The 11595-nt window shown below is 40.6% G+C and overlaps 1 protein-coding gene and 1 pseudogene across 16 annotated transcripts in view; one reads left to right on the top strand and one right to left on the bottom strand.

Annotated features, from left to right (window-relative positions):
• Positions 1-11595, bottom strand: part of SLC30A6 (solute carrier family 30 member 6) — a 58516-nt gene that overhangs the window by 4780 nt on the left and 42141 nt on the right. For 10 of the 16 annotated variants that reach the window (XM_047444944.1, NM_001330479.2, XM_011532962.4 and 7 more), the window contains one exon: positions 10039-10107. The exons of 4 other annotated variants lie outside the window; for them this stretch is intronic. In XM_047444944.1, coding sequence (XP_047300900.1) covers positions 10039-10107 — 69 coding nt within the window. Of the gene's footprint in view, positions 1-8638; positions 8704-10038; positions 10108-11595 lie in introns of all 16 variants that reach the window. 2 more of the 16 variants (XM_011532963.4, XM_047444946.1) reach the window with 1 other exon arrangement.
• On the top strand, positions 5038-5144 carry RNU6-647P (RNA, U6 small nuclear 647, pseudogene; annotated as a pseudogene).

The following is an 11595-nucleotide window of genomic DNA, read 5'->3' as shown; positions in this document are numbered from 1 at the left end:
AGCCAGGCATAGTGGCGTGTGCCTGTAATCCCAGCTACTTGGCAGACCGAGGCAGGAGAACAGCTTGAACCCAGGAGGCGGAGGTTGCAGTGAGCCAAGATCGCACCACTGCACTCCAGCCTGAGTGACAGAGTGATATCCTATCTTGAAAAAGAAAAAAAAGAAGTCCAAGTATTTCAGGGGGCAGAAGAAGGAGGAGGGAGAGAGAAGAGAGGGAGAGAAGGAAGAGAGGAAGGAAAGAAGAGAAGGAGAAACAGAGGAAAGGGCTGGGTGTGGTGACTCACGCCTGTAATCCCAGCACTTTGGGAGGCTGAGGTGGGCGGATCACCCCTGACGTCAGGAGTTCGAGACCAGCCTGACCAACATGGTGAAACCCCACCTCCACTAAAAATACAAAAATTAGCCGGGTGTGGTGACATGTGCCTATAATCCCAGCTACTCAGGGGGCTGAGGCAGAAGAATTGCTTGAACCTGGGAGGCGGAGGTTGCAGTGAGCCGAGATCACGCCATCGCACTCCCAGCATGGGAAGAGAAGAAGGGAAGAAGGAAGAAAGAAAAATGATAGGTAGGTAATAAGGTTAAAAAGAGGCTACCAGAGGACTCTAAAATGATAAAGAATTTCAATTTAACATCTGCAACCTAACAGAAATAAATAATCAGAGTTCAGAAAAATTGTAGGTATAGATGACTGGAAATCAGGTAGGAAAAAAACTTCAACAATCTAGATTATAAATGAGGAGAGCTGCCAAGTGCAGTGGCTCATGCCTATAATCCCAGCACTTTGGGAGGCCAAGGCAGGTGGATCACCTGAGGTCAGGAGTTTGAGACCAGCCTGGCCAACATGGCGAAATCACGTCTCTACTAAAAATACAAAAATTAGCTGGGCATGGTGGCATGCACCTGTAATCCCAACTACTCAGGAGGCTGAGGCAGGAAAATCACTTGAATCCAGGAGGCAGACGTTGCAGAGAGCAGAGATCATGCCACTGCACTCCAGCCTGGGAGACAGAACAAGACTCTGTCACAAAACAAAACAAAACAAAACAAAACAAAACAAAACAAAACAAAACAAAACAAAAGAGGAGAGCTGAGCCAGGCCAAAAATAGTGGGATCAGAGAGGGACAGACAGATATATCATATTCCAGAGGTAGTAATGGAAGGACTTGATACCCAGCTGGAAGTAAAGGATGAGGAAGATTGACTCATCAAAGATGATATCAAGGCTTCTAAGGGATAGAGAACACCAGGCATTACAATGAGAGTTAGAAGTATATTTGTTAACTTGAAAAAGTGTTTACCATAAATTATGGGTTTTTTTGGTTTTGTTTTTTTGTTTTCTTTGTAGAGATGAGGTCTCACCGTGTTGCCCAAGCTGGTCTCGAACTCCTAGGTTCAAGCGATCCTCCTGCCTCAGCCTCCCAAAGTGCTGGGATTACGGGCGTGAGCCACCATGCCCGGTCCATAAATTATGTTTTTAAAGTAGATAATCAGCAAATGATCCTATTTTGGTTAACACAAACACACACACACAGACTCCCCCAGCCTGAGCAACATGGTGAAACCCCATCTCTACAAAAAATAAAAAAAATTAGCTGGGCGTGGTGGCACACATCTGTAGTGCCAGCTACTCAGCTACGCAGGAGGCTGAGGTGGGAGAATTGATTGAACCTTAGAGGTCGAGGCTGCAGTGGCTGCACCACTGCACGCCAGCCTGGGTGACAAAGAGAGACCTTGTATCAAGAAAAAAAAAAAAAGAATTCAATCCCATTTACAATATCCACAAAAGAAATAAAATACCTAGAAATACATCTAACCAAAGAGGTGAAAGATCTCTACAAGGAGAACTATGAAACACTGCTCAAAGAAATCACAGATGATACAAACAAATGGAAAAACATTCCACGCTCATGGATTGGAAGATCAGTATCATTAAAATGGCCATATTGTCCAAAGCAATCTATAGATTCCATGCTATTACTATCAAACTACCAATGTCATTTTTCATAGAAGTAGAAAAAAATATTTTAAAATACATATGGAACCAAAAAAGAGCCCAAATAGCCAAAGAAATTCTAAGCAGAAAGAACAAAGCTGGAAGCATCACATTACCTGAATTCAAACTATAAGGCTACAGTAACCAAAACAGCATGGTACTGGTAAAAAGACAAACACATAGACCAATGGAACAGAATAAAGAACCCAGAAATAAAGCCACATACCTACAGCCATCTGATCTTTGACAAAGTCAACAAAAATAGGCAGTGGGGAAAGGACTACCTATTCAATAAATGGTACTAGGATAGCTAGCTAGCCATATGCAGAAGAATGAAGCTGGACCTTCACTTTCACCATATAAAAAGATTAACTCAAGATGGATTAAAGATTTAAATTTAAGACCTCAGCAGGGTGCTATGGCTCATGCCCTGTAATCCCAGCACTTTGGGTGGCCGAGGTAGGCAGATCACCTGAGGTCAGGAGTTCAAGACCAGCCTGACCAACATGGTGAAACCCTGTTTCTACAAAAATGGAAAAAAAAAAAAAAATTTGCCGGGCGTGGTGGCAAATGCCTGCAGTTTCAGCTACTTGGGAGGCTGAGAAGGAAAAATCACTTGAACCCAGGAGGCAGAGGTTGCAGTGAGCTGAGATCATGCCACTGCACTCCAGCCTGGGTGACAGAGCTAGACTTCGTCTAAAAAAAAAAACAGACCTCAAAACTGTAAGAATCTTGCGAGACAACCAAGAAACACCTACAGAATGGGAGAAAATATTTGCAAACTATGCATCAGACAAAGATCTGATATCAGAATCTATACAGAACTTAAAAACTGAACAAGCAAAAAACAACCCCATTAAAAAATGGGAAAAAAACATGAAGATACATCTCAAAAGAAGTCATACAAGTGGCCAAGAAGCATGAAAAAAATGCTCATCATCACTAATCAGCAGAGAAATGCAAATCAAAACCACAATGAGATACCATCCTACACTACTCAGAATGGCTACTATCATTATTATTATTTATTTATTTATTTATTTATTTATTTATTTATTTATTTATTTATTTTGAGAGAGTCTTGCTCTCTTGCCCAGGCTGGAGTGCAGTGGCGCAATGTCAGCTCACAGCAACCTCCACCTCCTGGGTTCAAACAATTCTCCTGCCTCAGCCTCCCAAGTAGCTGGGATTATAGGCCCACGCCACCATGCCCAGCTAATTTTAGTATTTTTAGTAGAGATAGGATTTCGCTATGTTGGCCAGGCTGGTCTTGAACTCCTGACCTCAGGTGATCTGCCTGCCTCGGCCTCCCAAAGTGCTGGGATTACAGGCATGAGCCACCGCGCCCAGCCAGAATGGTTATTATTAAAAAGTGAAAAAACAACAGATGCTGGTGAGGCTGCAGAGAAAAGGGAGTGTTTATACACTGTTGGTGGGGATGTAAATCAGTTCAGCCACTCTAAAAAGCAGTTTGAAGATTTCTCAAAGAACTTAAAACAGAACTACCATTTGACCCAGCAATCCCATAACTGGGTATATATCCAAAAGAAAATAATCTTTCTACCAAAAAGACACATGTACTTGGATGTTCACTGCAGCACTATTCACACAGCAAAGGCATGGCATCAACCTAGGTGCCCAATAACACCTAGGATTGATGGGCACCTAGGTTGGATTGCTTAAGGAAGAGTTTGAGACCAGCCTGGACCACATAGCAAGACTCTATCGTTATAAAAAATAAATTAGCCAGGCACACATATGCAGTCCCAGCTACGAGGAAGGCTGAGGCAGGAAGACTGCTTGAGCCTAGAGGGTTGAGGCTGCAGTGAGCCATGACTATACCCCTGCACTCTAGCCTGGGTGACAGAGCAAGACCCTGTCTCAATAAATAAAAAATAAAATAAGATATAAATAAAGAAAAATAAAAAACAGAAGAACAGAGACAAGTATCAAGGATGACAATATTTATCTCTAGATGGCAGAATTATTAAGGATATTTACTCTCTTTTTTATGACTTAGTTACAAGTTTTTATTTTCTTAACAATTGGGTACTATTTGCCTAATAAGAACTTAAAAAAAAAAAAAAAATATATATATATATATAATAGATGGCCAGGCATGGTAGCTCATGCCTGTAATCCCAGCACTTTGGGAGGCTGAGGTAGATGGATCACTTGAGCTCAGGAGTTTGAGACCAGACTGGACAACATGGCAAAACCCCATCTCTACAAAAAATACAAAAATTAGCCAGGCGTGGTGGTGCGCGCCTATAGTCACAGCTACTTGGGAGGCTGAGGTGTGAGGATGGCTTGAGCCCATGAGGCAGATGTTGCAGTGAGCCAAGATCATGTCGCTACACTCCAGGCTGGGCAACAGAGCCAGACCCAGTCTCAAAAAAAGAGAGTAAATAAAATTAAATAAAATGTCCAGCAGACACTCCATGTTGGTCTCTAAATAAACACAGATTTTCAAAAAAGAAAAAAATTCTTACAAAACATAAACTGCACATAAATTAGCCAAATTGTTTAGTAACACTGTATCTGAATCTATGACTTGAAATACAAAATACAGAAAAATAGTAAGAGAGCTACTGTCAATCATGAGACAGAGAAAATATCTATATTCCTTGAATTTGACTTCCAGTTTATTACTTTTAGCTAAGACAAGCCACGTCTTGAAATCAAGTCATCTTTGATTTTTCCCTTTTCTTTTGCCACTACCATTCACAGTTGTCACTACCTAAGTATTAAAGATGCCATATCCTCTTTCAGTCTGATATGGAAATCAAAGTAATTAAAATAAGGAAACTCTGTTTTCAGAGTATGAACTTGAAAAGTCTCCTATAATTACAGTGCATGCGTTAATCTATGGCTTTTGTGATATTAACTTTTAGCAGCTCAAAAGCTTGTTTTATTAAATTCCTGGGTCTTAACCAGGGACTTCATAGGTGTGGTTTCTAGATGCCAAGTTCTGAGTTGATGACTATATTCTTTGTGTTTATAAGCCATCCAATGTCATTAACGCAATTAAAAGAATGGTTAAGTGGTCACTTCGGCAGCACATATACTCAAATTGGAACGATACAGAGAAGATTAGTATGGCCTCTGTGCAAAGATGACATGCAAATTCATGAAGCGTTCCATATTTTAAAAAATTAATTAATTAAAAAAATAAAGGAAAGAATGGTTAAAAATGAACATAAGACTCAAGGTGTGTAGTTCTAAAAGGCATTCTAGAAGGCAATTTGGGAATTTGCATCAAAAGCCATAAAAATGTGAATATTTTCAGATTTACAAAAACTTCTAAAAATTAATCTTAAGAAATAATCATGGATATTTACAAAGATTATCCCATAAAAATGTTTATCCCAGGCTGGGCATGGTGCCTCATTCCTATAATCCCAGCACTTTGGGAGGCCGAGGCGGGCAGATCACAAGATCAGGAGTTCGAGACCAGCCTGGCCAACACAGTGAAACCCTATCTCTACTAAAAATACAAAAAATTAGCCAGACGTGGGGCATGGTGGGGCATCTGTAATCCCGGCTGTCTCTTCGCAGATTCTACAAAAAGAGAGATTCCAACCTCCTGAATCAATAAAAAGGTTTAACTCTGTGAGATGAATCTACACATCACAAAGCAGTTTCACAGATAGCTTCTTTCTAGTTTTTATCTACTTGGGAGGCTGAGGCAGGAGAGTTGCTTGAACTCAGGAGGCGGAGGTTGCAGTGAGCCAAGATCATGCCATTGCACTCCAGCCCAGGTGACAGTGTGAGACTCCGTCTCAAAACAAAAACAAAAAAAAAAAAAAGTTTATCCTAGACCTGTTAATATAGGAAAAATAGAAGAGAATCTAAATATTCACTAAGGGACTTATGAAATAAATTATGGCATATTTAGATAATGTAAAACTAAGAAAACTAAAAATTATGTTGGGATTCTTGCAAGATGGCAGCAGTGGTGGCAGTGTTTGAAATGCCTCAAATATTTCCATTAAAACAAAGAAAGTAACCTAGTACCCTTATGAAAACCCAAATAAAAGGTGTAAGACCTTCAAGGTAACACAATCTGTGCAGCAGGAAGCAACAGCACATCTGACTGACCTAAAAACCCCAAAGCGGCTAACAAGACTTAATGGAAATCTAGGACAGCCAATATGAGAAAAGCAGCTGCAACTGGGAGGAGTTTTGCACATTACAACAGTGGGCAAATACACTGGGTCTGCAATAAGGGCTGGAATAGTCTGAGCCCTATGAGTCTCGAAAGTAACCAGGCAAAGCTCCCCTCCAAAAAAAAAAAAAAAAAGCTCCATATCAAAAAGAAACATTGGCAAGAGAATCCAAACTGAGTAGTACAGTTGAGACAAAGGACAGAAGAAGTTCAGATAAAAATGTAAGGCAGGGCCAGGCACAGTGGCTCGTGCCTGTAATCCCAACACTTTGGGAGGCCAAGGCAGTAGGAGTGCTTAAGGCCAAGAGTTCAAGACCAGCCTAGGCAACACAGCAAGACTGTCTCTACAAAAAAAATTAAAAAGATCAGCTGGGCATGGTGGCGTGTACCTGTAATCCCAGCTACTGGGAAGGCTGAGGTAGGAGGATCATCTGAGCCCAGACATTTGAGACTGCAGTGAGCTATATCTGTACCACTCACTCCAGCCTAGGTGACAGGGCAGGACGCTGTCTCCTTAAAAAAAAAAAAAAAAAAAAAAAAAAATGCTGGACACAGTGGCTCACTCCTGTAATCTTAGCACTTTGGGAGGCCAAGAGCAGATCACCTGAGGTCAGAAGTTTGAGACCAGCCTGGCCAACATGGTGAAACCCTGTTTCTACCAAAAAATTCAAAAATTAGCTAGGCATGGTGGCATGCACCTGTAGTCCCAGCTACTGGGGAGGCTGAGGTGAAAGGATCGCTTGAACCTGGGAGGCGGAGGTTGCAGTGAGCCGAGATCAAGCCATTGCACTCAGTCTAGCCTGGCGACAGAGTGAGACCCTGTCTCAAAAAAAAAAAAAAAAAAAAAAAAAAAAGGTAAAAATGGCAGAGAGGAAGAAAGCCAGAACAAAAATCTTTCTTCGTTCACAAAATCATCAGAAGATGGAGCTCTAGACCCATGAATTTGTACACACTACCCTAAACCACTCCTAATTTTAATGTTCAGGAAAACTAATTTCACATAAAAATGAGCAACAGAAAAGAAGAGAGGGTCAAATCCCACACAAAGTTATGTAAGAAAAAGAGACTATAAAACAGATTATAAAAGATCACCAGACAGATAAAACTACATGTCAGATAAAAACTATAACCTACTTTTTAAAAACCAATCAAAAGATATAAAACAAGACCATAAATCAGAATTAGAAAACCTTAGAAATGAGATGACAATTGTAATACAAGAAAAAAAGATCACTTTAGAAATGAAGACTTACTCAGAACAAACACAAACATAAGGAAACATACAGGTATACTTTAAGAGACACAAAAGGTTAAAAAAAATCAAAAGGAAATTAAAAGATAAGAATTTGAAAGAAAATAACAGTAAGAAAGGCAAAGATCCAACATATTTAACATGCACATAACAGAAGTTTCCACAAAAGAAAACCAAAGAAAGAGAATAGAACAAATATTACAAAATACAATTAGATGTTTTAAAAAATTATTTTTGAAACAGCATTATCAAAAGCGTGCACTGTGGGCCGAGCGCAGTAGCTCATGCCTGTAATCCCAACACTTTGGGAGGCCAAGGAGGGAGGATCACTTGAGGTCAGGAGTCTGAGACTAGCTTGGTCAACATGGTAAAACCCCATCTCTACTAAAAAAAAACAAAAATTAGCTGGGCGTGGTGGTGCGTGCCTGTAATCCCAGCTACTCGGGAGGCTGAGGCAGGAGAATCGCTTGAACCCTGGAGGCAGAGGCTGCAGTGAGCCGAGATTGCACTACTGCACGCCCACCTGGGCGACAGAGCAAGACTCCGTCTCAAAAATAAAAATAAAAAAAAAAAGAAGAAAGGGTGCACTGCATACCTGAAATAACTCATGCAGAATGACCAATGCCAAGACATATTCTAGTAAAGGTACTGAACTTAAAAAAAAATCTTTTGGGCATCCAGGCAAAAAGACCAAGTGACATATAAAAGGAAAAAAATTAAGACTATCATTAGGCATTGTCTCAGAAATGCTTCATGCCAGAAATAAAAGGGATAATGTGTTTTTAAGAAACTTGAAACAAATGTGTACTGAAGAGTTTATATCCAATCAAACTAATTTTTAATTATAATGTCCACAAGCTGCTTTCAACATTCAAGAATTTAGAGAATATTGTTCCCAACGGCCCCTTCTAAAGAATTTAAAGAAGTGTAGTGTGGTGGGTCCCCCACTAGGTTATTCGATGATGTATGTCCGCTGCCCGAACTCTGAAGGCCAGGCAATGAGCCAAAGCCATGGTGTACAGTCGAGGAGCAAGCGACCCTGAGAACCAAAGATTTTAGAGAGCATCTGAGACCCTACCAAGGAAAACAGTCTCATTACACACATACAGCAGGCAAAGAGCGAGAAAATTAGCTTAAAAGCAGCTTAGAAATGGGAGGTGGGTAGATCTCTAAAGCTGTCCTGCTTCCCAGGAGTGCCCCATAGGTAACTCCTAACAAACTCACCTACTGGCCATGCTGGACCTGTCCAAGTCATTCTTTGGTCTCTTGACACTCTGGTCATTTGGCACCTTCCCAGTAAGGAGGGAGGGGATGTTACAGTCTCAAGTTTTTCTTGTAATAAGTTTTAGACATCCAAAATAATGAGAGAGGGAAAGAGTTGGGGAAGGTGGAGGTGAAGCAACCATTTTCCCACTACAAAAGCATAGCCTGAAACTAAAGACTGCAAAGTGGGTAATATCATTGAACTGCTAGACCAGCTTTGATCTGTTTATCTATAAAATTTGTGTTATATTAGAAAAATCAAACCCTATCTGTTTTTTTTAATGATACTGTAGAAGAGTATTTAATGACATAGAAAACTGTTCATGATAAATTAATTAAACAAAAAGAGCTAATTATAAAACAGCATGATCTCATTTTCTGTTGTTTTTTTTTTTTTTTTTTTTTTTGGAGACAGAGTCTCACTCTGTCACCCAGGCTAGAGTGCAATGGCGTGATCTCGGCTCACTGCAACCTCTGCCTCCCGGGTTCAAGAGATTCTCCTGCCTCAGCCTCCCGAGTAACTGGAATTACAGGCGTGTGCCACACCCCACGCCCAGCTAATTTTGTATTTTTAGCAGAGATGGGGTTTCACCATGTTAGCCAAGTTGGTCTCAAACTCTCAACCTCAGGTGATCTGCCCGCCTCGGCTTCCCAAAGTGCTGGTATTACAGGCGTGAGCTACCACGCCCAGCCCGTGATCTCATTTTCTAAGGAAAATAAATGTATAAACACCAAAATATCAACAGCAGTTTTCTTTAGATGATAAGATTATAGTGCTTTACATTTTCTGTATTTTCCTCATCATTCCTAACGTACGAGTAAAACCGTGTCATAATAAAGTCTCTCTGGTATTGAGGTTCAAACTGAATTAGAAAATACGAAATTTTATGCTGAAGCAAGTTGTGTTACTGTAGTTCTTCAAAATATTCAGCAAACTCTCCAAAATGAGAACTACAGTTAAAAAAGAAAGCAATTGCACTTTTAATTTTTTTTAACATTTTCTTATTTGGAAATTACACTGACTACAAATTTGTCTTATCTGGACACTCCTGTATTATTATCATTAACATGTTTGATGGAAAAAAAATAAAAACATTCCTCTATTGTTTGGGAGATTAAGGCGGGAGGACTGCTTGAGGCCAGGAGTTCAACACCAGCCTGGGCAACAGAGTGAGACCCTGTCTCTAAACACCAAAAAATCCCTCAATTAGGTAATTGAATTCATGTACATTTTAGACTCTGCTTAACATAACTAGGAATCAAAGGCTCTATAAAAATTTTAAGGAAATATTTTTTTTCAGTTTTAAAAATGGAAGACTATATTTTAAATTATAACTAAAGTCATATGTAAAAGAACATACCAATGAGCCAAAACCTAGGGTCCAAAAATGTTCATTTCGGACTTCTAAAACTCCATCTAAGGTAGATACCTACCAAAAACAGAAAGAGGTGATCAGAGTTGTCTGTACTTAACATATCCAATGCAGTTTAGTCACATTATGGACTTAGTTTAAACTTAAGAATGACAGCCAAATCCTGCACAAGGACACTCATTAGCTAAGAGAAGTCTCAGACCACTCAAGATACCATTCCTGTTTGTTCCATACTGACCCAAGACCTTGCTTTCCTCGTTTCTTGCTTGCCCCAATTCTTTTAGAATCAGGTCCCCACTGCTCAGTTTTAAACCCCTACCCCAACCAATTTCTTCAACAGTGTATGGTTCTTTTCATATCAATATGGAATATATTTATATCTAGCACTTTGTGGTATCAGATTTTTTACTTAATTTTTTTGTTTTCTCAATCACTTCTTTCTCTGAAATCCCTTATAACAAATCTCTGCACAACACAGGATGTTGTTTGGATGTGAGTCTAGAAGAAATTCCAAGGCCAGATATATAGTGTGTAGCCCACTGGTACAGTTGCACAGGACACATACTCAAGGCCAGGCTTCACTAGTTGAGAGTAGTAGCCAGTTATACTGGTAAAAGTGGCCTCTGTCACACTGACAATCAAAGGTTTAAAATAGTTTCAACATCAAAATAGTTCATTATTTTATTTCTTCATTAGTTAGTAGGTGGAAATTTGTAACAACTTAAAAGAAAGTCTAGGCTGGGCATGGTGGCTCATGTCTGCAATTCCAGTACTTTGGGAGGCTGAGGTAGGCAGATCACTTGAGGCCAGGAGTTCGAGTCCAGCCAGGCCAACATGGCGAAACCCTGTCTCTACTAAAAAAGTACAACAATTAGCCGGTGGGAAGCAGAGAACACGGCACTGCACTCCAGACTGGGTGGCAGAGTAAGACCCTGTACCCCCTGGAAAAAAAAAAAAAATCACAGCATTTGACCGGGCACAGTGGCTCATGCCTGTAATCCCAGCACTTTGGAAGGCCAAGATGGGAGGATGGCTTGAGAGCAGGAGTTCAAGACCAGCCTGGTCAACATAGCAAGACCCCATCTCTTTTTATATATATATTTTAAAAAAACAACAAAAGGCTGGGCACAGTGGCTCATGCCTGTAATCCCAGCATTTTGGGAGGTCACAAGGGGCGGATCATTTGAGGTCAGGAGTTCGAGACCAGCCTGGCCAACATGGTGAAACCTCGTCTCTACTAAAAATACAAAAATTAGCCAGGCATGGTGGTGGGAGCCTGTAATCCCAGCTACTCAGGAGGTTGAAGCAGGAGAATCGCTTGAACTCAGGAGGCGGAGGTTGCAGTGAACCAAGATCATGCCACTGCACCCCAGCCTGGGTGATAGAGCAAGACTCAGTCTCAAAAAAAACAAAAAACAGGCTGGGCACGGTGGCTCACACCTATAATCCCAGCACTTTGGGAGGCCGAGGCGGGTGGATCACGAGGTCAAGAGATTGAGACCATCTTGGCCAACATGGTGAAACCCCGTCTCTACTAAAAATACA

The sequence above is a fragment of the Homo sapiens genome, chromosome 2, assembly GCF_000001405.40.
Source record: "Homo sapiens chromosome 2, GRCh38.p14 Primary Assembly".
Lineage (NCBI taxonomy): Eukaryota > Metazoa > Chordata > Mammalia > Primates > Hominidae > Homo > Homo sapiens.
This window is presented reverse-complemented; position numbering and strand designations above follow the sequence as displayed.